Source organism: Homo sapiens, chromosome 12 (genome assembly GCF_000001405.40).
Source record: "Homo sapiens chromosome 12, GRCh38.p14 Primary Assembly".
In the NCBI taxonomy this organism is placed as follows: domain Eukaryota; kingdom Metazoa; phylum Chordata; class Mammalia; order Primates; family Hominidae; genus Homo; species Homo sapiens.
The window spans coordinates 13,536,929-13,564,754 of NC_000012.12; the positions used below are offsets into that span (position 1 = coordinate 13,536,929).

The 27,826-nt window shown below is 43.0% G+C and overlaps 1 protein-coding gene across 3 annotated transcripts in view; it reads right to left on the reverse strand.

Moving 5' to 3' along the window:
* Positions 409-27,826, reverse strand: part of GRIN2B (glutamate ionotropic receptor NMDA type subunit 2B) — a 444,798-nt gene continuing 417,380 nt past the window's right edge. For all 3 annotated transcript variants that reach the window (NM_001413992.1, NM_000834.5, XM_005253351.3), the window contains one exon: positions 409-27,711. In NM_001413992.1, the coding sequence (NP_001400921.1) occupies positions 25,855-27,711 (1,857 nt within the window). In that variant the 3' untranslated portion in view covers positions 409-25,854. The remainder of the gene's footprint in view (positions 27,712-27,826) is intronic.

Here is a 27,826-nt window from a genome sequence, read left to right on the forward strand (position 1 = left end):
AAAAAATATACCCCCTGCTCTCGTGGGCACATCTAAAAGAAGATTGGATGTGGAGGAGCAAAGCCCACCTTTTGTTGTCCTGATGAAGCCCCCTGTGATGTCAGACAATTATTCCGACTATGGGGCATGTGCTTGAGGGAACTACAGTGTCCTAGAGTTTGCCTGGAAGAGGGGAAGGGACTAATTTCCAGGCAAAGAACATCAATGTGGATAGGTTTCCCTAACTGAGGGGGTTAGAGAATCAAGACCCAGGCTATGTAGAGCTGAAAAAAAAGGTGCCTTTTTAGAAGATCATAGATTTTAAATTGAGGAGTAAGTCCAGGAATTATGGCCAATGAACCAACCTTGTGGAGTAAGTTTATAGTTTTGATTTTCTTCCCATAATCATGAGAATAGTCACATTTAAGGTCGATTCCAAGTTTAAATTTTATGTGTAGAATTTCCTTTACATAGAGGAGCTTTGCAGTATGTCTATATCTAGCCGTGTATGCTGGGGATAGGCAGAATTAGAGAACGAGGCTGTAATCATAAAATGGTGCTTCCGTTATGTCCATTCTTCAGCTCCAAATGGAAGAGGAAAGAGGTCCTGGAGTTCCAAAGGGTGACTGTCTGTGCTGTGAATAGTTGTCCATGGTGAGAGGAGAGTGACAACAAACAGCTGCCACATATAATGGGATTAGAAGTAAATAGGAGGCCCGCTTTCCCCAGATGCACATACATAGTGGTTCACATTCTGGCTGTATATTAAAATCACCTGGGCAAGTTTTCAACCCCTAACCCCTCCAGCCACCCAGGACAATTGAATGAGACTCTCTAGGGGATGAGACTCAGGCATCAGCATTTCAGAAATACTCAGATGACTCCACTATGTAAAACTGAGAACTACTGCTCCAGGTAACCTTTGATGGGGAGGGCAGATAGACCAACATCTGGGTTTCAAGATAAGAAAACGGAAGTCTAGATGATTTGATGCAGGCCACAAATGATAGCTTTGGCATAATTTTTTTGACAGGCCCTGCAGACTCTCAGAACCACTTTTCTGGTGGTCTCTTCCCATCTTCTTGGTCATTCCAGAATTCCACAAGAAATTTCTTTCAGAGGATCATTTATATTTTTGAAAGAATTAGTTTGCATTTGTAAAAGAATAGGGGAATAGAAATATTCAAATCAAGTGTTCAGGGTAGGTTCTACCTTCCTAGTGATGTATGCAGGGGAAGAGTGTCAATCCTGGGACAGCCAAGGAGGCTCATCTTTCCGGAACAGTTGGCTGATGGGGACACAACCGGGTGCTCCCTCAGCCTTTCATTAGACTGGTCTTACTGATAGTCCCTTGCAGTGGACTTCAGGGTGGCACAAGGGCATGTAGGACACAGGTGCTCTGAGCTAATCCATTTAAGAGATTCCAGGTGTGGGTGAGGCAGGCTGTATAAAGAACAGACACTTGGCATAGTCTCAGGAAGTTCTGGCACTCACCCTTGTCATTGGAGTCTTTGTTTTATTGAAGGTGTTGTGATCATGATCAAAGCTTTCATGATATCCTACTGGAGGTTCCCACCATAATCCAGATAAATACTCGCAAGCTTCCTTATTTAAAACTAGAGCCAAGATGGGCACAGTGGCTCACACCTGTAATCCTAGCATCATAGGAAGCCGAGGCAGGCAGATCACTTGAACCCAGGAGTTCAGAATCAGCCTGGACAACATGGTGAAACCCCGTCTCTACAAAAAATACAAAATCAGCCCAGTGTGGTGGTATGCACCAGTAGTACCCAGCTACACAGGAGGCGGAGGTGGTAGAATCACTTGAGCCTGGGAGGTCAAGGCTGCAGTGAGCCGTAATCATACCTCTCCACTCCAGCCTGGATGACAGAGCAAGACCCTCTTAAAAAACAAACAAACAAAAAAAAAACAAACAAAAAAACAAAAACAACAGAAAAATCAGAGCCAAGATTTCAAGTCTTGTCTTCCCCCTTTTTTTTTTAAACAAATCTCAGATTTTCAAATCAAACTTACTGTATAATTTTCAGATTATTGTTAAAGCAGTTCTGTTGTCCAAAAAAAATTTGGGGTTTAAGGAAGTATCTCCAGAAGTAAAGAGAATCACTATATCTGGGAAGAATCTGGCTTTATGTTAGAGCTTGCTACTTTCTGGAATGTTCAGGGAGAAACAAGAATTTTTGTTCAGTACAAAGGAAAGTACAAGAGAGACCCTCACAGATAATCTCTCTGAGACAGTAACTTCAAAGAGATAACAATACATTATCCTGGGAGATTCCTGGAACTAGGGATTAGCCCTGCTGGCTTCTAGCCAGGGCTGCCATACATGAGCTCACCCAGGCTCCTTGGCCATGAGACAGAGTTCTTCTAAATGGTCTCTAGAAGGTCCTTTCCAGTACTAGGACTATAGGAGGAGCATGTGGCTTTTAATAAAGTGATGTTGAAATGTGCCTCATGATTGGCATGTGAAAAGCTAAATATGTCTATGCTATTTTCTTACCAAGATAGCTAAGGGGGAGATACTATTATTTAACTTGGATAATTTAGCAATCAAGGTATAGAAAGAGAGATCATTTAGAATCCATATATAAAGCCAGTAACAGGACTGGGACTGGGAGTGGGGTGGGAAACAATCAGCAAAACAAGGGCTGGTTTGCTTTTCTGACACCTCCAAGCAATGGAAGTATGCATTAAAGAGTAAAACAATTACCAATTTACATTGTCTTCATTAATATTGGGAAGAACCAGCAAAATCCAACTGTGGGAACCTCTAAAGGATAAAGTGCTCTATTCCTTTAACAAGTATATGTCAAGAAAAAGTTAGAAAGCAAATCTTTAGATTTAAAATACATTTGAGAAATAGCAACTAATTGTATGGACCTTATGACTTATGGGAAAAAAACCCACCACCACCCCATAAAACAGTATTACATTTGAGACAATTAGTGAACACTGGATATTTCTTATCAAGGAATTATGGCTACCTTATGATGTCACAATGGTATTGTTAAACTAAAAAAGAGTCCTTAGTAAAAGAGATATATACTGTAATGTTTACAGATGAAACCATATAATTATGGGATTTGTTTCAGAATAATACATGAGGGGGAGATGAGTGTAACCAAGGGCTCCAGCACCAGCTATAGTAGAAACAGATCCCAACCCAAGTAGATTCGCCAGTCCAAGACTCCTACCAACAATTGGAAACCAACTGGGCAAGGGGTTTTTCCCAAACAGCACTTTTAACAATCTTTTTGGAATCACAGTAAAGAAAGCACAAAGACCAAGAAAAAAACTCTGATTCTGGATTTTTTTTAACCCTGATAATTTGTGGTAGGTTTCTTTATTTTTTGAATATAAAGTGACAGAAATAATTTGCCATTAGAAAAGAGAAAGAATCTTTGACTATTTACAGCTTTTATACATCACAAAGTTTTTCTTGTTTTTTTATGTTGTCTTTTTTTTAATTCGTTTTAATTTTTGTTCCTGCATCATTTGAACAAGTCCAAACTGGAAATCTATACAGCTCACAAAAAAGCCCTCCACCCAAAAGACCCCCCACCCCCACCCGACCCCAATGAGAAACAAGATAAATCAAAAGAATGAAATCAACTTATTTCTTTTGTTTAAAGGTAAGTCATTTGCTTATATATATACTTGTAATTATTTTTTTCAAGTTCAAACACCAAAATCCAAGAGAGAAAGGAAAAAATAAAAAGACCCAGTCATCCGCCCCTCCCCCCACTCCAGAATCTCAATTGATCCCTGCATGTCCAAAATAAGAAATAGATATTTACAGAAAACAGAAGCAAAACAAATAAACAAAAAAAGAACTTGGAGGTGGATGGGCTGGGGATCTGAGAGTCAAGAGGAAGGAGAGCCGGCCCCAGGGAGGAGTGTGGAGTCTGGGCCTCGCAGAGCTGAGGCAAGCCTGAGTCGTCGGTGCTCCCTGGAGAGGACATCACACAGGAAAGCTATGACCATTTCCCCTCTGCCATGTGACTTTGGGAGGGGTGCAGCTGTGAATTTGCAACGCAACCCCATAGTGGATGCATATCATGTTTCCATCATCACCCCCTTACACACGTGCGCTCACACACACGCTCACACACATGTGCACAGGCACACACACGCATCAGTCATTGTGGCTAAGTGTAATTCTGATGCTGTTGGAGCACTGGCTCCTGTCACGTGGAGGAAAAGAGATTTCCCCTAGGGACAAGAGCTCACTGCCCCATCCCTTCTCTGATCTCCACTGTAACATTGCCTCTAGCTCCCTTGAAATGTTTCCACAAGCGTCAGGGCTACTCTGAAGTATTAATGCTGGGATAGTCACTGGGTAACAAAGCTCCCATAAATCTATTCCCTCTGCTCCAACAATTTTGCCCCTCACTTCCCACAAATTCCTTTAACAAATAGGCGTACCCAGGTTACCCCATTAACCAGGGGTGGGAGCCAGTCTGAAGGAGGGGAGATCTGAGGCAGGGTAAATGGAAGTCACATTGTTTTCTGCACATCTTCCAAAGAGTGGATTCCGGGAGGTCAGAAAGCAAAGAGAGGTCATGACAAAACCATCCCTGGCTTCCTTTGCTTCCCTCTTCCTTCCTAAATAGAGTTTAATGCGTACTCAGTGCATAAAGTAAGGTATGACTGAGTTGGCTGTGATACCTTAAGAACTCAAGATGTGGCGTTAGATGAGCCAAGATGAACATAATTTAATCTTTTGGGGGAAAACGGCTGGCAGGATATGACCATGCTGAAGGGTTTGCCTTTATTAGTGGACAGAGAGGCTGAACCAGCAGCAGCAGTAGTTGTGATCTCATTCACACCCTGTTCAGGGTTCCGTGAGGGTTTGGAAAAATAGTTCACTAGAAATGGCCTAACAGTTTCTCTTCTCAAATTATGATTTTTTCAGGTGGCACAGGAAATAGAATTAGTGCATCCTCTGTGTCAGAAACAACGTGCAGTGTCTCTGGGGGCAGACTCTAGGTTGCTCTTGCTAAATCTCCAAATGCCTACACAGTGGAATTTTATTTTTCTGCTCTCCTTGCCAAACTACTTGTTTTTTTCAGACCCTCCCCAAGAGTCCTCACTTACCCCCTTTTCATGCAGCCCCACTCAGAGTCCTTTTCTTTCTAAGCCCTCTCCTGATCCTTGAAAACGCTCTCTCAAGGCTTTTAAAGACTTTCATTCATTTCCATGCTCCTGTCCCACTGTTTCTGTCACAAAAGAAAATACAAAATCAAAATGATCTGTCAGAGAAAACTTTCATTTAGCAGAATTGGGCAGAAGCAAAGTTGCTTTCCAATCCTTTTTATTTGATTTTTTTTTTAAAGATGAACAAGGAGTAAGGTAAGTAAGAACAAATAATTATGACCCCCCCACAACGAGACTAGCTTAGTTGGGAACCTTAGAAAGGACAAGATTTCCTGTGAAAATGTGTACTTTCCAGGATAAATAGTCAAAATGTGGTCTCAATCCAGGATAACATTTGTTGACATCTATAAAAACATGTTGTGGCCTATCACAGTTAGCAGTGGGGTTTTTAGTAGAAGTTAAAAAAGCAAATATCAGGACTGAGGAAGAGGTACCAGAGTTCCATGTGCTGCCATCAAGTCCCTGCCCCGGGCACTTGCAGCATCACCACCTCAATCTGACATAGAGACAATTAGGGCCAACCCCAAATGCCCACAGCCTCGCTTAGGGCAATCACCACGAGAAGCCCAAGACCCCCAGTCCCTCTTATCACTTGGACTTTCATCCCCAGATACCCATGCACATCTCCCATCTCAGCTCATTTCCCTTCCTTTACCAACTCCCAAATCCTGCCTAAGAATCAGTGGTTCATCACCAGCCACAACCCTGGCAATTCCTTTCCTCTTGCTCTTACAGAAACCTGGCTCCTCTTTGAGGACCCTGAATCACTCCCAGGTGGTGAGCATTTCCACTTGCACCTTCCTCATGCCCTGGGGCCTGGAGGTGGAGATGCCCTTCTTGCCCCTCATTGCCATTCCAGACCATCCTCCCTCCTTTTTAAAAAAAAATAACATGCAACAACCATAAAATCCAGCTTTGATGCACATCAGACTAGGCTAGCTGCACCCCTTACTTGATGCAATGATTGAAATGTTCTCGAATCACTCTCCCTCATTCCTGTCATAATTTACATTCCTATCATATGGAAGTCAACATTTTGTTGACTTCAATATCTATATAATTCCCATATCCTGGCCTCTCAGTTCCTTGACCCCTGCTCCTTCTATAACCTTTTCCTCTATCTTATCTCAGCCCACCACCCCAACAACAGACCCCAAACCACCAATAACTGCAAGCCCTCCATAACCTCAAGCATCCACCTCTCCAACCCACCTCCTAATTTCTACGTTATTGCTTCTGACTCACTAACTGAGTGATCCCAGCTTGAATCTCAATCCTCTGCCTCTAATATGCTTCATTGTTCCTCCTTCCCTAAAAATCCTCACTTTCCTCTACACCCAGCTTAGATTCCATGACCAAACATTATAGTTAACACACTGCAGTTGCCCTTGACTCCACATCTCTTGCTTTCATTATATTCACCTGGTTATACCCCAACCCTGTTCCAATCTAACTTGCCACCCTGTTTAAGCAGCTGAAGGTGACTGAAGAAAACAAATTTCTTTAAACTCATAATCATAAAAACTCAAATAATTCCTTTATGCCCCCTAGCATGTCTCCTATATTTTTGGTGTCTCCGACATTTTTGTTCTCACTCTTCCTGCCGGATGGCTATATGACTCATTCATGCTTTCTTCCTTCCAAAACCTCCAATACTCTTCCCCTATACTCACTCTTAACTGATGAACTCCTTTCATAGTTTACTAAAAATCAATCAGAAAAAGCATACTCCCATTATCCCATTTACCAGCCCACTTGCATCTGTGCCCAAATGCACTATCTCCCTGCTATTAATACAAACAAACCTGGTTAGTCCCCTGAAGCCAGTCCCTCTATGTTTGTATTGAATCCCATGCCCTCTCACTTCATCAAAGACATTACTCCAGCAATTGTCCTCTCTCCCTAGGCATCATCAATTTTTCCTTTCTCCTGGATTAGTCTTGTCAACATAAAATGGGCTGTTATTTTTCCCATCTTAAAAAAAGAAGTCCCTCCCTGGGCGTCACATTCTCTATGATCTGCTATTTCCATGTCCTCTTTACAGCCAAACTCCTAAAGCGTTGCCTATTCCTGTTGTCTCTACCTCCTCTCCTTCCCCTCTTTCTTGAATCCACCCCATCATGCTTTTGCCCCCACCAGTCCACTGAAACAGCTCTCTTCCAGGTCATCAATGGGATGACCTCCATGTTTCCAGATAGTCTTATCCTACTCAATAATAGTACTTGCTTTACCCATTAACCACTCCTCCCATTGCTGGTCCCTTCTCATCTCCTGGAGCTTTGAACAATCCTCCACCCTGGGCCTCAGTCTAGAGAATCCTCTTCTGTCGCTACTCATTCTCTAGTTCCAGTATCATGGCTTCAAATACCAACCAAACGCATACAAATTTTAAATATGTATCTTCAGGCTATACATTTTCCCTGAACTCCAGGTCCATATATCTAATTGCCTAATCATCATTTCTACTTGCAACATCTGTAGACACCTTAAACTATAAGGCTTTCCTTCCCAGTCAGCCTCACCTGCAGGATTCCTGTCTTACACTGATGGCAACTCCAAACTTTCAATAGCTCAGGCCAAACATTCTAAGGTTATTCTTAAGATTTTTCTTTCTCTTATTCAATGTCTAATTCATCAGCAAACTGTGTGATATCGATTCTTTAAAACATTTCTGGAATCCAACTGCTTCTTATCACCTCCCCTGCTAACATCATGGCCCAAGCAACTATGATCTCTTACCAGGATTATTGCAAGAGCTTCCTAACCGGTCTTTCAGCCGCTTCCATTGTCTGCCCTCTCAGGGTATACTCTCAACACAGCAGTCCCAAAGCTTCCTCTTCAACTGAAGTCAGATCATATCACTCTATGCTCCGAACCTTCTAGCAACTTCTCATCTTGCTCTTGGTAAAAGCCAAATCCTGACAGTGTCCTACAAGGCCCTACCTGACTTGCGTTATTGCCCCCTCTCTGACCTCACCTCTCATACTCTCCTCCTCCCTCATTGGCCTCCCGGCTCTTCCTCAAGTTTGCCAAGCATTTGGTTTGACAGCAGGGCCTTTGCAATTGCTTTCTCTTTGCCTTTGCATAGAAAGCCCCAAGTCTCACTCCCTCATTTCCTCCAAACCTTTACTTAAATGTCATCTTTGCTTACTCAAAAATAGCAACCCCACACCCATCCTATCATCTATCCCCCTTAATCTGCCTCATTTTTCTGCATGACACTTTGCACTATCTGACATGAGATCTATTGATTTGCTTTTTTGTCCATTTCCTCTCATCAACATACAAACTTCAAGAGGGTATGGACTTTGTGTGGTTCGTTCTTATATTCCAGCACCTAGAACAGCCTGGCATGGGTTTCCACTCAATAAATATCAACATGGATAAGTCATTTATCCAAAACATGCTCTGAAGCCACAGACCAAATATCCCCAAAATAAGAGCTCCAGTAAACAAAACAATGCAAGCAAGGAAACAACTCCTCCCCCAAAACCTGGATATTTATTCTAAGTGTTTCTAAATTTTAACCAATGGCAAGTGCAGAGCTCACTTTTCATGATTTTTCTGGTTTGAGAATTGTCCTTGGGTTAATTATTATTTTTAATAGGTAAGAAAAAAGTTACTCCGAGTTTCATTAATCTATGGCACTTTGTCCCTCCTCTCCCCTGCGGCCTAACTCCCAAATCCCCTTCAGCTATAGTGAAATACACAGACGCTGAATATTTGGGAGGATTACTTAACGTTTTAGCTTTCCTGGTTTGCTTAGAACATATGATCTACTACCCGCCAGTAATATTTTATAGCTTAGAAGATCATGTCTGAGTCAGTAAATTCCATGTTAATATGTGTAAGACTCAGGATTAAATCAATCTGTAAAATGCCTATTTGTAATCGAATCTAGCAATTTTCTTTCTGAAGTAAACAGTAATCACATTAACAACCTAGTGATTTCACTGGAGATGGGAAGATATAATTTTATTTAACAGATTTTCTCTCTCAGAGGTGACCTAACTTTGTGATCCAAAATCATTCCAATATTGAAAAAAAAAGGTTCAGCTAACTCCATTCCCCTGATATATTCAGTTCTCAGTGCCCCTTGGCTTCCCAATTTAAGTCAATGTAATCACAATGCACACAAGGCTCTTCCACTCAGAATCTTCTTGACTGGAGAATGGAAATCATTGGAGAGGGGCTGCCCTAAAGGTTTGTAGACAAGGTTTTGAAGAATCGAGCTACAATGCTTATCAATGTCTGTCTGGAAGAAAGCCTACGTCTCTTTCTAAAGCCAGCCTGTCACCATTTCTGAGCCATCAATGGCAGCACAGCCTCTCCTTCTGCCAGAGCTCACAGGGAATGACAAATCTCTGAGGGAATACACCAGAGCATCTGGATGTGGGTGTCATCGTCTCTTCACCACCAAACCATTCTACCCCAATTTCCCTCTTCTTTGTTTCTAGATTATTTTTTTTTCAACTCAGTGAAGAACATTTCTCAGAACCAAGCTTTTTGTCTGCTTGTCACTGAATCTATTTCCCATTCAACCTTCTGTTTCTCATTCCAATAGACACACAATATTAATGGTTAAAAATAACATGCAACAACTCACTGGGCGAGAAATTTAGAAACACTTGCCTCCTATGAACCCAGGGCCAAGGGGAGCTGAGGATAGTGTCACATTACCAGCATGTTCAAGCTAGACATCCTCCATCACAAAGGGCTTGTGCCTTGAAATAAATTTAAAAAGAGAGAACAAGAAAAGCCACAAAATACCTCCACATACACAACAGGCATCTTGACCAGAGCACCAGGACACATGCTCAGAGGTGGCTTAATATTCCAGAGCACATCCCTCTCCACTAAGAGCCACTCACTATCCCAGCACTTGATCTTGAGTTGAAGCACTCAGGAACAAGACCTCATTTGCCTGCTTGTCATTCTTTCTCCAACTTCCTAAGTTAAAAAATGATGAGAAAACCATGAAAAATTACTGTCAAGGGTTTCTTTTAACAGTCTGATAGTTTAGATAAGAATACAGTTTAAGGGATATATCCCATTTTCATAGGAAAGGAAAGTCGGGGAGGGGAGCCAAAAACATGAAGGGGAACCAGGAGAGCTGCCAGGAGGCTGGGAGGTGAGGAAGGGTTTCCAAGTAAGGAGCTTGGAAGGTTGTTCTCAACGATAAAACCCACTTTGCAGTGGCTAAAAATATAAGTATTTTGGTCTATTTTATATTATAGCTGTCTTTCCTTTTGTGAAGCACCAACCACTGAAGTTCATTTTGGAATCATGGCCACCCAGAAGAGGAAAGGGGTGATCATGTGTCTCAAAGAAGAGATAACTTTGAGGGAGAGGATGAAAACTGCAAAGACCCTTGGGATTAAATGAAATCTGCTGATTCTACTCTTTTTTCATGAATTTCTGTATGATATTTAGCAATTAGAATGTTTGACTGGCAATGGCCAGGTAGATTTCACCATTATGTAACAAAGAGAATAAAAAAGAAAGGAAAGGAGAAAACAATAATTGGCCTAGGAGATGGGAGTTTTGTTCTTGGTCTTAGTTGTCTCCCTAGGAGAAGCAGCTCTTTTCCATCCAAAGGTGAACAGAAGACTCTGCAGAGCATAATGTTGCTATGGCTTGTTTTACTGAAGTAAAGACACTGTAAATCTCAAAAATACTCCAACTTCCCTGATTCTTTTGGAAGTTATTGGGCATCTGCATTTTCCCAGGAGACTTCTCTCCACATTGTCGCAGTGTTGAAACTCTGAGATAAGAATTCCTTGCCCATCTTCTAACTTCCACCCAGATATCTGGCTTCTGTCAATAGGCCTTACCCAAACAGGGTTATGTATATGTATGTATGTATGTATGTGTGTGTATATATATATATATATATATATTTTTTTTTTTTTTCTGAAAGCTACAGAAGAGACCACGGAGATGTGTGAGCTGCCAAGGTGCCAATGATCAAATAGAGAAGTCTAGCTTGGAAATAAATCAAAACCATCAGAGGAATTACATTCCACCCCTAGGCTCAGTGGGAAAGAGTTTAAGTTCATGTGGATCTTGCTGTTCCGGAGCAAGCTCTGGGCTCTAAAATTGAGCTTATCTTCTCTGTCTTTCATAGGATAGCTAAGCACCCATGCCCCCTAAGGGATACTTGAAATAGGAAGATATCTTTATGTTGTGTATACTCGGTTTAGTGGCTTCAGTCTTGTGCAGATATAGATTTTCTTTGTAAGACTTCCTCCATTGGCCGCTATGGTACAGCTCAGAAAAGCTGAACTTTTCATTTCTATTTTAATATTTAATACTAAGTACAAGAGCTCTGTGGTTTCAATCAAATAATTCTCCATTCATGCCCTCAGAGTCCCCAAGAATCCTGCTATTTTCCCACCTCCCCCCCCCGATGAATATAGGTGTAGCAGAAGACAGGGAGTGGTCATCTTGGGGGAATAAGATGCTCCAAATACTCATCAGCTGTTGGCCCTGTGACCTGTTTTTCAGGATCATCATGATCCAGGTATCTGTAATGACACTCATGAAAAAGATGAAGTCACCACGGAGTCAAGGTAGAAATAGCTACTGCCCCTCTCTCTTAGCTTACTATGATAACACGATTTTATGTGAATTATTGGGAGGCAAAAGGACAAGGGAAAAATGAGATTTGTAATAGGCTTGATTTTTTTTAGATTAAAAAATTAGTCTAGTGCCCACCTCCTCCCCCCATCTTCATGCATGGGAATAAAAGCTACCTCCTCCATTTCCTCCGATCATCTGAAACTAGCCTCCTGAACCAGGCTCCGGGGATCAGTACACTCTGAAGTTGATGGTATAGAAGTCTCCTCACTCATTCATCTAAGGACTTTTCCATCTTCCTACCTCCTCTCCTATCTTCCCTCTAGGGCTAGGAAGGACTGATAAAAAAAAAAAGTTACTCTACATTAAGCAGGACACTAGAGCTCTTTCACTGTTTTTGGTTTAAGCATAATGCTGTGAGCCAAAATTTCTTCTGCAGCCCAAACTAAAGATACTAAAATCTTTGGAAAGATGGATTATATCCTGAGCTTGATATCATTCATAAGTGAACAGGTGGGTTGTAAGAGAAGGTTGTTGCAAGATTCTCTGATCTGCGGGTGCTTAATAAATAATTCACCATTGCAACCTTGTGACAAAATCAAGGTCTCATAAGTATTCTCAGGAGACTATTAATTTTGGAGCCCCCATGCTTCCCTTTCTTCAGGATTTTGGCAGGCAGTAATTATTTATTATCGGTCTGGGGGCTATAGGTTCTTTCTTCAAGAATTCATTGTGTATGTGAACTGCCTTATATTTTTCTGTTCAGAACTAACTTATGCCTTAATCCTAGAATCAGGCTTGTATGTTTGAACTTAATTAGACAGAGGTGCCCAGAAAAGGATGTAAGGGGCTCTCCCTTGAGGCTGCCCTGCTCACTGTGGGCTGACCAAAACTACTGACACCTTCGGAGTATCATGACACCCCTGCACACGTTCCTGAAGGCTCTTTTGCCATGTAGCACTCTGGAAGAAATCCTCTGTCCCAGTTTATTCTTGAGTTTTTTATTTATGTGGATTACATGCTACCTAAAAAAAATTTTTAATAATAAAAAATTATTCACAATATCTTACCCTATAGAATTCAAAAACATTTTTATTTGACCAAGTTTTCTTCACCGTGGAAACCTCTCTAACCTTTCTGATTTTCAAATTTTTGCTTTCTTCTTGCTCTTTTTGACTTGTCTCTGTAGATGTATGTGGAGTGTGTGTGTGTCTACAAAGGGAAATTTCATAGATAAGATCTGGCTAAATCAGCTGCCTAGATTTCGTGACTTTTCTCCACTGCTAGATGCTGAAAACCTACAGTGGGGGCAGACAATTCAGGCAGCATTACTCGCTGAGCTAGACTGAGAGTTAGAAATTTGGACAAGTTTTGGTTCAGCCAAGTTTTGGTTCTGTCAAGAATTTTCTGTATAATCTTACTTTTGGCTAATTATCCAATTTTGTGCTTTGACTTCTCATCTGTAAAACTGAAAGATGATCTTATTTCCAAGTCAAAGGAGGTTATTTGGAGAAGTGGTTATGGTAAATTCTTCTGTATTCACATACCAACTACTGTGATTTACTCAGAATGTACCATAGGCTAAGTGTGGTGGAGCCTAATGGGTTGCTGGTTATCCTAGAAACTCCACCATTCCCCAAGGAGGGGAGCAGAGGCAGGCTAGAACTGCAGGAGCTCAGTGCCTCTTTACATGGGAATAAGCTAAAAATGCTCGAGAAATGACTCTTCAGATTTCTATGTGACCCATTTCTCGTGCCTGTTACCAAGAAATAACCAAAGTGAATGCGCTGATCACTGAAGGTGTGCAAGAGTCTCAGGAGGAATTCTGTCATAAAGAATATGTATGTATCTAAGCAACAGGACTGTCTGTTCTCAGTAGAATGACTTCTGCTTCTCCATCCTCTTAGAACCAACCCATCAACAGGACCTTATGGATTCCATCAGGTCAAATAGGACAGTTAGCAGGATAACTATGTTGCTCTACCACAAAGAAAATGCTGCCTTCACATAAAGCCTCTTTTCTGTAATCCAAGATGTCCAGCTATGTACAGCAGGCCCCATCCTAGTCATTAAAATGCAGTGGGATTGACTGTGCTAGACTGATTGGGCTCGAGTTTGGAAACATTAAGTACCATGCACGTGTTCGAGCTCTGTGCTCACTCAACTTCTCATCCTAACATTGTTTGTGTTTTGAGGATGGGCTGCTCAGAGTCAACTCAGGATAAGTATACCTCAAGATGAATAAATTGAGAAAGAGAAGTAAAGAATGCAAGAGATGAAAAGTTAGTGAAGGGAAACACAGCTGTAAGTGCCCTCATTGACTTCTAAATGCATTTATATCAAAGAAAGGGTGATTTTACTACTTCATGTTTTTCTCAGTAAGAGTTCCACCTCCACCTAGATGCTTCACTATCCTCCTTGCTTCCTGCCTATGTGAAACCTTGATATTTTTCTTGCTCCTGACCCTGGGAGAGAGAGAACAGATAAATTATTGAATCCGTGAAGGCATTTATCCCTATTCCTTGAGAATAGGGATTCTCAAGGAATTCTCCTACCCTTATTCCTCCCATTGAGAACAGACCTCTCCACCTCTGCTCATGATGTTTCCAAGAAGAGATGTGGGCACATGTGCGAATATGTATGTATCTAAGCAACAGGACTGTCTGTTCTCAGGGGGACTGGCTTCTGCTTCTCCATCCTCTTAGTACCAGTCCATCAACAGGACCTTAGAAGGCCACATGGATTCCATAGGGTAAAATGGGAAAATGGAGACGATAACTAGGTTGTTTCATCACAAAGAACATGCTGCCTTCACATGAAGCCTGAATATTTCTGTCAAACCTTGAGGGATCAATGATCCACAAGCCAGGTAGAGCAAAGAGAAAACACTGGCTGCATAAATTATGATATGTCTCTTTATCCCATTCTAAATGAACACTTTCATCTACCATAACATGATTGACATAGGAAATTTGGATCTATTTGTTAAGATTGTGTGTGTGCATTAGGGAGGTACATAGGCATCAGAATGCTCATGGCAAAGAGATCAAATTCTGTGTAGTTGTGCTGTTCAGGTGAATATCTGAGAGCAAAGTATAAACTACTGAGAGTATAACTCAGCCAGAGGCAACCTAATGGCCAGGTCTCTGGTTTGCAGAGGGTTCTTATGTCATGGTCAAAGGGAGCATTAAAATAGCCATGGATTTCAAAAGAAAATCAATTACAATTAAAATGTGACAATGACAGTTAACTGCAAGACTGTTCTGAATAGGGCTGAAGTTTTAGGCAGGCATGTTTTGTTTCATTTCGAAAAAAAAACAATCCCCTCTGGAAACAGGTAATATACTTATCCTAGAGGAGCAGGCAGCTCAACAAATTCGCATTCCTGTGGCCCCTTCCCCTGATGCTGTTCTCCTGTCAGATTTCAGAGACTATGAATCTCTTACTGCAAGGGGGACAGATGGAGTCACAGCCTGGTGGCCTAAATTCTGTGGGTAAGGGTGGTGTGATAAGTCACTCCCTCTGCCCAGGGTGATGATCAAGGGCTCCTTGGGTGCTGTAATCTGAAGGACCTGGGCAGGAATGACATGGGGCCAGGTTCCTTGTGGATATCAGGACCTCACACATAAGGTTGCATTCAGGTTCCTCACTCATCTCCGCTTTGGTCCTTGCTCTTTCAAGTTTCCCTACTTTCCGAAGCTATCATTGAAGCCAGTAACCAAGGGGGAACCATGTGCCTCACATGTCAGCTTCTGGCTTTATTGGTGACACAAAAGGAAGCTCCAGTGTAGACTTCCTGTTCTTTTCCTTCCTCATATCCTCCCTTTCCTTTTATGGGTATTTGTAGGCAAAATAATTGACATGAACAGTTCATGGCTAAAATGCCTAGAATTTTGGTCCATTTATTGGCCCAAATGAGATTCATGAACGTCCTTCATGAGGATGGCTGTCTTCCTACCCTCCCACCAGCTGTTTACCAGATAATTTGTTTCATCAGCTAAAAAAAAAAGTCTCATAGTATAATGAAATGGGTTTTGCTCTAAAATATTAACTATTCTCATTTTCAGGAGCAAGGCTATCTAGACCCCATAGGACTTTTGAAAAGCAAAATTATCTCTCTAGACTTATATTTTAATTTTCACTAGGTATCTCCCAAGTTGTCACAAGTTTTGCCCTACCTTGCCAATAATAATTGTCCTACCCACTCCTGTCTCAATGAAGAGTGGACTTTCTTCACTTTTTTTTTAAAAAAAGAGACTTGTCACTGCCTGTAACTTATTTGAGTTCAGTTCTCTATAGTATGCTTTAAATTAGCACACAGTGGCAGAAGATGCCTCCCAAAGGGGAATAATTCATAGCCAATGGCATAATGAGATTTACAGAGAAGGCTGGCCGGGAGAAGGAACGAAAACATTATCGGTTACCAGAGCAGCTGAAGTGAAAGGACAGTACGAGCTCCAAGAGTTTCTTCAGAGGGACAGAGACTGACACTGGCTAGAAAGAATGATTGATAGATTGCTAAGTAGAGCCAAGAGAGGAGGAGGAAGGGTTAACAGGGCTTCAAGAATACAGGGACCAGAGGATAAGGGAGGGCCATAAGGTCAGAAGTGATGTTGTCTCCCCCTGAGGTAATGAATCCCTTTATATTTACAGAGAAAGGAGTAGTTTAGAGACTAGCATTCTCTCTGAGCCAGCTCATTCAAATCCTAACTTACTTTCATTGTAAATATACAGATAAGAGGTAAAGTGCTCAATTACCTCAACTCTTATCCTCCCTTTGGGAGAAGTGATCCTGTAGACAAAGCCTCAGAAAGGGTGAGAAGCCAAAGAACTCAGGAAAGAAATATAAAGACAAGGTGGTGACCAGCACAGACAGTTCCCCCAAGGCCACAAATGTGGAAGTAGCGTGTGGTGAAATACAGTGGTCCTGTTGGACCACCACCTGGGGTCTACAAGGCTGTGTGATTAGTGAGCCAGAACTGTGACAAGGTTCTTTTGGTGCTGAAAGTGTTAAAAAAGAAGCTAAATATTGGATCACAGATCAGTCCCAGCATGGATCAGGTTATTAGAGACTCAATCTTGGTAGTAAAGTGTCTGGATACAAGCTCTACCCAAAGCATCTGAAAAGCTGATACCTAAAATTTGATCAATATCCTTCATAGTTTCTCCCTCTGTCACTTACTTGAACACATGTAGTGTTCCAAGTACACTTTCCTAACCATAAAACAGTCCAAAACAACTTCAAAGGACAAAGCACTTAGAAAAAGGACAAAGCACTTAGAAAAATCCAGATTCCATTTGAAATAATGAACTGTATACATGTAGTATATACATGTGATTGTGTGTGCAGATATATATAGAGAAACTGGGGGGATTCATCCTTAGGTGCTACTGCAGATACAAATGGGCAAAATAAAGTGACTCCTTCTCAATTATAATTTATAATAATATCAAATATTTACTAATGCCTTTCATATACAAGGCACTCTGTTTAGTGCTACAGGAGATAAAAAGATTTAAAAATACATGGCCCTGAACACAGGGAGCTTATGCTGTAGCAGGAGAGATGAGATGTATAACCAAATACCTATGAAATAAGATGGCCCATGATAGCTGCCACTAGGGAGAAACAACGAAAGTGTTATGGGCATTCATAAAATGCCTAAAATTATTTTCTGAATGGAAGATAAAGAAGTTGTTCTGGTCTTTGAAGACTTATATAGAGGGAATGGATATTATTCAAGAAGGGAGTGAGATGGGAGATAGGAAGGAGAGTATTTTGGACAAAGGGAACAGTTTAAGGGAAGACGCAAGTGGGAAAACAAGCTGGTAGGGAAAGGTGAAACAAATGTTATTCAGCTTGTCTGGATTATGGGACACACACATAGTCAAGTAACAAGAAATTATTGCTGGCAGACTACGGCAAGTGAAGCCCACTGAAGGTTGTTTCTTGATCTGAAGAATGACATCTGATTTATATGTAGGAAGTGAGTACTGACAAGAGTAGATTCAAATATAAAATATTGGAACAATGCTAAAAGACGCTGAAATAATCCAGACTAGAAGGAAGGGTCTGAATGAAAAGGAAAGACTGGAAACCTTAGGGGGAAGAATTAGTAGGCTTTTCAAATTTTTAGATATGCAGGATGAAGAAAATGGAGGAGGCAAAAGTGCCTGAAAAGCTTGAGTTCGGTGACGGAAGACATGGTGATACCATTAAGCAAAAGGAGGAAGTTGGTGATTATGTTGGTTTGCAGCAATGGTTTTGGATATTTGAGTCAAGATGAAGTTGAGTGTTCAGAAGGTGACTGGAAGTATGTGTATGAAGGAAAAGCAAAAGGTAGGGGCTAAAAGTGAAGATTTGGGATTCATCTTCATTCAAAGAGTTATTGAAATCATAGAAGACAGAAAGATTGCTACAGAAGCATTAAGATAAGGAGAAGAGGGTCAAGCTCAGATATACCATGGCAAGTCAATGCTAAGGAGATAAGAGGAAGAGCAGGAACCAATGAGGTTAGAGGACCAGAGAACTAAGATTAAAACCAGAATGTATTGCCTCCCAATGGTAATTGTCAATGAGGTTGAAGAGCAGGGTAAGTAAAGAAAAAAGGCTATTGACTTTTGTAACAAGAACTTCATTGGAACGTTGCCTGAGAGTAGTTTCAGAAGAGTGGTAGGGTGTAGCCCATTGATGAAGCCATGAGCATAAGGTGAGGAAGTGGAGAAAGAAAGACTACCCTTTTGAGAAGTTGGGAAGTGAAAAGATAGCGATAGGACAGAAATTCAAGAGTCAAATTGGATTGAGAGATTTGTCTTTAGAGATAGTTGTAGGACGGGTGTTTTTGAGATAGTTGCAGGTAGATGTGTGGAAGGAATTAAAGATGCAAAAGAGAGAAATACAATTGGCTGGAGAGCACCTCAGAAGAGGTCAGAGCATAGGGAAGAGGAGCACTTGGTTGGGAGAAAGGATGGAAAAGATGTGTGAAAGACAAGAGAAATCTAAAGGCAGAGAGGACAGCATATGTGAGGATTCAATAATCAGATTTTCTTGCAAACACAGTAGGAAAGATTGCCTGTTGAAAGACAGGACATGAACATGAAAGGAAAATAAAACAAATTTATCAAGCACAGAATGTGACACTGAGTCAACATTGGAGAAATTAAAAAGTCCAAGTGAGTAGGCTTCAGGTGAGGTTAAATTGATTGAATTTGTGCTCTTCACGTAGGTTTAAGACTTGCTCTTCTTGGGGATGCAATGAATGACAAGGGGATGGGATGCAGTTAGCTAAGCATGGTTGGTGTAGTGAGATGGCAAGAGGAAAAAGGAATTGCCGGTGAGAATATTGCTAATGTGGGTAAATACAGGGTTAGACCAAAGAGGGAATTCAATGAGGCCTGATGGATTTATGGACCAGAACAACAGAGGGGTCTTGAAGGAAGGAAGATATAGAAAAGGCAAGGTTGTGGTTAGAGAGGAAATCCCAGAGTTTTAGCTCTGGGAGGTGTAATAATTTCAAAAGAATAAGTCCAGGCCTGGCCATGACATGGGAAGCTGAATCTCTGCAATGTTTTTTCAAATAGCATAATGGATATCTTTGACTCCTACCCTGAAACCAGAAAATATTAAACTTGCATGTATAATCATACAAATGTATGCATACCTATTTATACATACATTTACATATTTTATACTTATGCTTTCATATATTCTACGTGAGTACAATATACTCCATTTTGAAACCTTTTATATCATTCACAGAACTAGCCTAGGGACATAGTACGTGCACAATAGACGTTGGTTTAATTAAACTCACATATTTAACCAGAGAGCTTTTATTTTTTTCTCCTGCATAGTACTAGAATCTGCTCCACCTCCTAAATCACAACATTAAAATAATTACCGATAAAAGAGTTCAGGTTTAAAGTGTGGAAACCTAATCTTTAAAATAACAGTTTAAATTGGGCTTAGTGTTGTGCTTTTTAATTGTACCTTAATTCTTGCACTGAGTTCTTTCACCTTCTCCAAAACACAGATTCTACACACCAGAGTGCCAAGGCTCTGAGGAATTCTACTCATCTACTCTGCTTTTCACCTTCAGTTCTTTCAGGAGCCCTTAACCACATAATCACCCCAGCAATTATATTCAAAGCATGAAGCAGCTCCAGAAACTCACTGTACAGAGCTCTTGAGAGATGTAGAGAGAAATGTGGAAGATTTCTAACTTTCCCTACTTATTCCCAGTACTGCTATTCTAACCCATTACTCTGAACAAAATTCTTTTTTCTTGCTTCAATATTGTAAATGAGAAGCCCTAAACGTCACAGTTCTCTCCAAGGCATGAAAGTAGCAGCACTGGCTTTCAATTTAAGGTTTTGGGTGAGGGCCTTTGTCATAGGAATAGATAGGCTATCTCTTCTAAGTCATAGAGCTCACAGGGCCACTGTGTGACTGAATCAATGTGGTTGGAATGAGTTGAGGGTGGGATGTTCTCAGATATCCTATGATTTTATACAATACTGCAACCCCACCCCCCAAACTAGAATAGAATCCTAGATTCAGATCAATATTAGACATTCTCAGACTGACTAATCTGCCATTTTAGTGTCATCCCAAACATCTGCTAGGCCTAAGAAACAATTGCCCCCCAGGTTAAGTAGCACCTGAGGTCATAAGTGGCTCTTTTACCAGATAACAGGGCACCCCCTATGGAGGTGGAAAGTATAGGATATAGACCAACTCAGCTAATTGGAAGATTAATTAAACTGGGACAGAAACCAGACAATGACAGTAAATTTTATTGTATCACTAATTCAATTTGATTTTTCTAGCTGCCTACTCAGTAACATGTAATGGAGGAGAAGCATCACTCTTCTATTTTCTATGGAAAGAATCATAGTTCTCAACCTGCCCTACAAGATACTGAATTTAGAAATTCATAAATTATACACTCATATGATTGTGTATTGAAAATAATTCCTAACCAGGAGTCCTATTTAGGTGTCAAATGAGGCTTAAATAAAAGCAGGCGGAGGCCAAAATATGGTTTAAATGTCTTTGCCATCTAGAACCTGTATCCTTGTTCCCTACTCTATTGCTCTCAGTGCTCTCTGCTCCCTTCCTCTTCTCTTGTATCATAACTTATTCCCAGGAAAAGGAGTGAGATTCCTAATGTAAATTAGGTGATTAAATGTATACATCCCTAATATGGCTTAATATGTCACCTTTCCTGGGATTACTTTCATTCGAATGACAGACAGCTCAGCTCAGTGCTAAAGCAACAAATCTGTGTGGGAAGGTGGTAGTTGCAGTGGGGTGGGAAATGAAAAAGACCTTTTCAGGACCTTCAACACACCATGGACCACATAGCATACATAAGGCCAGACCCATCCCAGTGTGACTATTCACTTTCAGCTGCTTCTCCTCCATGAAGAGCTCCTTAAACAGGAGGAAAAGTCTCTGACACCCAAGTGAAGAAAGCAAAAGCTCTGCTGTAGTGTGTAGCAGCCTACTGAGCATGTATTTCCTATATGGCTTTGGGCTCAGAGAGCACATAAGGTATGGCCACAGTCCCTGGAAATGCTGAATGCATTCATCAATATCACTGCAGTGACATCATTTATGCACACATCTGAATCATTCCTAACATACAAAAACAGACATTCACAGGGTGTCAAGCAATGACAGGGCCTTTTTAGAGAGATGATGATTGAAAGAATAAAGTGAGTTCTGGAATAGTTTTTCCAAAAGCTTATTGCCCAAACAATCTGGTTATTCTATCTGTAAATCTTGAACTAACTAACTAAAAACCGACCAAAAAAAAAAAAAAAATGAACCAAAGAAACCTAGTTCTTAGTGACATGTGCAGGTGACCAGCACTCTGCAGAGAATTCTCCCTTGGGCAACTCCTGATGGCCACGGAAGACCGGGTGAGTGATAGTCACTTAACTGTATAGACAACTCCTACTGTATCATGTCATACATGCGTTTTTGGCACTACTGACACCAGCAACATTTAATGGAATCATTTGGGATTTTCCCCTCAATCACAACATGGCTGTGGCCAGTGCAGGGAAATACATATGAAGGATGTTTCCCAAGTTCTGGCTGAGGATACACAGTGACAGATTTTGAAATAACAAAGTCCACTGTACATGCATCACTTTGAAGGGTGTGCAAAGTCTCGACTCAGGCAAATTCAAGGGTCAGATTATTGTCAGTGGAAATGCTGAGATTTAAGCATTGCCACTGAAAGGAGTTCATACAGGACCACACTCACCAACCACTTCTGCAATGGAAGGGAATGATAGAGGGTACAAAGCGAGAAAGCATGGATTCTGAAGAACATGGGAATATTAGGTGCTCCTGAGGGTATCTGCGGAATCTCACAGTTTTGGATGGATTGGGTGTTGTTTCATACCCATCTGTGATATAGATTGGGCTTATAGCTGAATTCTTCCTCATGCATTTTACTTGCTTGTTATTCTGGAATTAAGTAACATCTAGATTTTAACAATGCCCAGCCTTCCTTTCTTTAAGTTTTCTTAAGCAGACCATGAGTAACTTAGTCCCAGTGCAAATATCCAGTTGAAGAAAAGCAACCAACTGGGGCCAAATAAGTTTAGAAAAATAAAATTGTCCAGCTAACAGCTTTTATGATGGGAGGATAGGAAAAAATGTAGTGAATATACTGGGTAAATGGATTTGGAAATTTTATCCTGTGATAGAGGCTGCCAACCTCCACAAAGCCAACAGTCTAGGAAAAGAAGTTCTATTTGTCTGGTTAACCCAAGGCCAGATTATGAACACCTGGCTCGAGGCCAGTAGCACCTTCCTGATGGCAGTAATGAGGACAAGGCAAATAAAGAGCCGCTATTGGCACCATTGCTCACATACCCACCCTCCCACGTCTAAACCTAACTTCAGCAATCTTGCTAAGGGAATCATCTCACCACTGAGTTTCTAGTGGATCCCATCATCTTTTCTAGAAAAGCATGCAAATTTGTAAGACACATATCCAGCACTACCTCTCTGTGACCAGATATCACATGCTTCAAAAAGTAGAGTTAGTGGAGATTTTTCCACGTGTGTTTGCCAGGCTGACTTCTGAGGGTGGAGATGGGGCAGGGAGTGAGTCAGCGCCCAGGTCCTAAAGAAGAAAAGACTCAGATGACTGAGACGATTGTTTCAGCATCAGAGGAGGCCGCTGGGAGATTTCTCAGGATTGAGCTTCCTGAAACCTTTCAGTCACGCCAAGAATGGGAAGTTAATTTGACCTTAATTCTGTTTAAGCCCTTTTGGGAATCTTTCCTACCCTAGGTACTGACAGAGGAAATATGGTGCCACCAGCCTGTCTTTGTGTGGAATGTGGTAACCTAGGGTCTACCTAGAAGATAGGAGTCAGACCTGGGGTTTGCTTAGAGCCAAATTGAACCCTATGTAAAACCCTGGCCAAAGTGCATGAACATTTCTCACAAACCAGTAAGAAGACTGGTTTTCTGGGGGGGATGGACACAATTACTTTCCCCTGGCTTTTTCACCATAGTGGCCTCCATGAGCATTCGCTTTTTCCAGACACCCTGAAGCAAAAAAGCCATACAAAACAATTCCCCCAATGGGAAATGAAAACCCATAACAAAACACTTTTTCCCTCTCATTCCCATCACCACCCCACTCCCTCCAGCCCAACACCCTGAATACTCACAAGAGAACACTTTATCTATACAAAATTAGAAAACAAAATATTTACATATGAAATAAACACCATCTTGATTTCTGTTGCCAGCGGAGACTGAAAGAGCTCCCTTGGTTCTAGATTGCTGTTCGCTAGGTTAGTTGGTTTGGTTTTTTTGTTTGAAAGGGGTGAGGTAAGAGGAAGATGAGGGGATGAGTCCCTGACCCCTGGACAGAGTCAGGGCGAAGCAGTGTTTACGTGGCCCTTCGCCTTCTTCCTCCTGGAGGTGCCTCATGCCCTCTGTCCTCTCTCAGTCTTTTCTGTTATCTAAGGTAAAGCACTCCGTGCTCCTCTCACCAAATCTGTGAGAGGTTCAGCCCCTTGCCCCCATGTTCATTTTAGAAAGAAAACAAAGCTTTACAAGGCCTTCAGTTGGCTTTAAAATGAAAGATACTGAGGTAAAAATCAAGGAGGAGGGTTGGGGACAGCAGTCAAGGGCGGGATGAGGAAGGGTCACGAGTGAGGGCAAACAGGGGCGAAGAGCAGCCCTGGAGGGAGTGACTTGAAGAGACATGGCAGCTTCCTTCCAGAGGAGGATGAGCACCTTTCTGGTTTATGTGTCCTGTGTGCAACATGGCGATCCTGCAGTCAAGCTTCCACACAGACCTGGGGCTCTCTGGATGCCACCCTGTGTAGGGGAGGATGGCAGGACAGTGGAACTGACCCATAGAATAAATAGCCCTACCGCAAGTTTCAGGACCGGCAGTGATACATATTCATTTCCCTTCTCAATTTTCCAATGTTAAGTGAAGGGAGCATCAGTTCTGCTGGTACCCTCATCCCTGGAGTTTTATACATGTATATCTTTTTTTATTCCTCAATGGTACAATCTGAGAGGGAAACAAGGTGTTGCAGGAAGGTAGAAGGGCTTCTACCAAGAGTGTTCACTCTGGGCTCAAGTCACATTCCCAGGGAGCCAGGCCCAAAGAGGTGGTGGAGGGTCCCTCTCTGCCCCCGTCTCCCATTTCCAAGTCTCTTCCCCTCTTTTCGTACCTCCAGAGCTGCACTCATGGAGTGCAGCTCATTTCTCTTAAAGGTCAAGCTCATTTCTCTTAACTGTCTGCTCTGTAGCAGTTGTAATCAGTTTTGGGGGGAAGAAGCCTGCTCGTCTAGCTTCAGGTTAAGTAAGAAGGGATCAAAGCATTGGAAACATCCCCCTCTCTCACTTACCCTACCATACACGACTCCTTACTTCTTCAAAGGTGGCTTCGTTCTTCCCCAAACCTTGGCCAGTCGAGAGTCTAAATGCTCAAAAGAGCTTTGTAGAATCTTTTGCTCCCAAGTGTGGGCAAAAGAATCATGGCTGTGAAAATTCGGTTTCCCTTTAGCCTTCCTGGAAAGTTCTTGGTTCAAACTGGTTGAAACAATTGCCAACCACTGAGGACTTGTTTATGTACCTTGTTCTTGCAGGATTGCTCACCGCCTTTTTTTGTTTAGACCACAGAATCTTCTTTATCAAGAATTTTCATTCTCCTTATTCCAGAAGGATGAAGGGAGACACAGCCAAAATTCAGGTAATACATGGCCATCTCTGTCTGTATATAAGCCAAACAATCACACTGCTTGGGGATATTGAAAGAAACAATAGAAAGAGTCAAGGTTGCCTTCTCTTGAGGCACCTGACTACACATGGGTGCAAGTGTGCATGAACACACATGCACGCACAATCCACCTGCTCTTGTCCCCAAGGCACCGTGGGACACTATCATAACGTACTTTCCAGTTTGTTCAAGAATCCACTCTGCCACCAATGACCTTTTGTTCTGTTCACCACCACTATCGAGTCTCATGGGGTTGAAGCAAGCATTTTTTGGCTTATATATAAACACAAATGGCCTCCCAACCTCTGCTTGGCACATGATTCCTAGACAGATGTCATCTAAGCAGCATGAATTTAGCCAGAGCCTCTTTCCTTTCACAAGCAGTGTGCTAAATGGTCTCACATAGATGCTTTTGCTTCCTCACCTAAATGAAAAGATCAGTTTGGGAAAAGCTACCTTTGTGCTCACATAGCCTCTTTTTGGTTCTCCCAGCTTCACTCAAAGAGGATATCAAGGAGCTCTTCCACACCAGGAGGAAGCCCGCATGCAGCCCTTCCTTTCTCCGCTCTACCCTCCCCTGCTGAGAGGGCCCATGGCATCATCTCATGGGAACAGGAATGGCTGACAGCGGGGGGAAGAAGGAGAGAACTGTGAAAAGGAGGAGAGATGGTGCTGGTCACCAGGGTTGCCCCCAGTAGGAACCAGAACTCCAGGATCCCATAAATAAATTAAAACAAGAAAGGAGCAAATGGGAACCAAGTTCACCCCCGTCACCCTCCGTGACATGCGCATCACGCGACCCACAGCCTTACCCTCCCGTACCCACCTTAACCTCTCTGTTCCCTCACTCAGACATCAGACTCAATACTAGAAAGTTTCTCATAAACATGCCCATTGCTGGAGCCATTGAAAGCCCTGGGGTTTTTGTTGTTAGGCACACAGGGGTTGGACTGGTTCCCTATACAGATGTCCTTCTGGAAACGGGCTGGCACGGCCCCATGAAGGGCCGAGACCACCGGCTTGTTGGTGACAAGGGCCCGGAAGTCCGGCCTGGCTTTCGACGCCCCCGCCACCGTGGGCTGCCTGAAGAAGTAGGATTTGCTGCCATGGAGCAAGCACTGGTCGTCCCCAAAAGTGGGGATGAAAGGGTTTTGCGTGACCCGGTCAGGGTAGAGCGACTTGCTGAGCATGTACCCGCCGCCGGGGTTGTTGTGGTGGTGATGTCCGGCAGTGGGCACTGAGGACTTGTTGTTGGCAAAGGTGCTCTCGCCAGCTGACATCTCAAACATGTGGGCGTAGGGGCTCCCATCCATGAATCGGCCCTTGTCTTTCAGGCTTACGCTGCGCGGGGCCAGGGCGGCTTCTTCCTTCTGCAGGTCCACGAAGGTGTCGTAGGAGTGCTGCCGGCGCAGTTTGTTCCGGTTCTTCTTCTGGGCCTTGGAATTAGTCGGGCTCTGAGGGTACTTAGTGGTGGAGGCGTTTGACGTCACCGCCACTGGGGCAGCCGGCTGGTCCAGTTCCTGCAGGGAGTTGTCCTCACTGATGTCATACAGGTTGCCTGCTTTCTTGCAAGCCTCACACCGGATGCACGCCTGCCTGCCCGAGTTCTGACCCGTCACCGTCGTGGAGTAGTTGTGCAGCTTGGAGGGACAGCTGCGGCAGAAGTTGCCCCCGGACCGGTCCTCCCACTCCACGTTGGTCAGGTTCTTCTCCCAAGGTGCAGGTACCCCGCTGACCACGCCGTGTTTGTCGCCCGTCCCGTGCTTGATGTGAGACCTGTTGGTACAGGGCCCTCCTCCGCTGACGGAGTCGCGCTTAAAGTCATCACTCCGCTCCTTGTAGATGTCGGTCAGGTCTACGTGCTCCCAGTGGGGTGAGTTCTCCTTTGTTCGGAACTGGTCCAGGTAGAAGTCCCGTAGCCCTTCCTTGTCCCTGAAGTAGCGCTTGTGGTCAGGGGAGCGGGGCGGTCGGCGACGGTAGGCCAGCTCGATCTCGTCAAACTCCCTGCGGGACTTGGCCGAGGCAGGCCGCTTCTTCAGGCTGTCCTTATATTGCTGCTTACGCCTCTTGGCGGCATTGCCCTCGATGTTCCCATAGGTGACGGTGTGGGTTGAGATGTCAGAGACATCGGAGCGGATCAAGTCGTCGTGGCCACTGTAGCGGTCGCTCTTGAAGGAGAATTTGCCGTACAGGTCACTGAGCTGGCTGTGCTTGGAGGAGGGGAGGCCGATGTCCAGGGGCTTCTTGCTGATGGACCTGGACTGGGTGGTGAAGGGTGGGTTGTCACAGTCGTAGAGCCCATCGATGGAGCTGGCACTGCCAATACTATGGGGCCGGTGGTGATGGTGGTAGTGATCTTGGTACACGTTGCTGTCCTTCAGCTGCAGGTTCCCGAACGTTCTCTCTACCTCACTGATGTAGTCACTGAAGAGGTTCTCCTCACAGGGCGGGTTGTTGTAGGATTTGCAGTCAGAATGCGTGAAGCTGCGGCGGTGCTCTGAGATGTCATAGACGGATGACTCCCGTCGGATGAAGTCCAGGGCGCTCTGCGGTGAGCCATTCACACCAGACAGGTTAGCCATGTTCTTGGCCGTGCGCAGCAGGCGCAGGATGTTGGAGTGTGTGTTGTTCATGGTTGCGGTGGGGGAGTTCATTACAGACTGGCGCTCCTCGATCGCCACCCCATGGATGCAGCTGTAGATACCCTGAAGCAAGAATGGAGGGACAGGTTAGATCTCCAGAGAGGCTAGAAATGACCACAAAAAACACTCTCCCACCAATAATTGCTCCAACTGGATAAGAAAAAGGGAAAGCATGAAG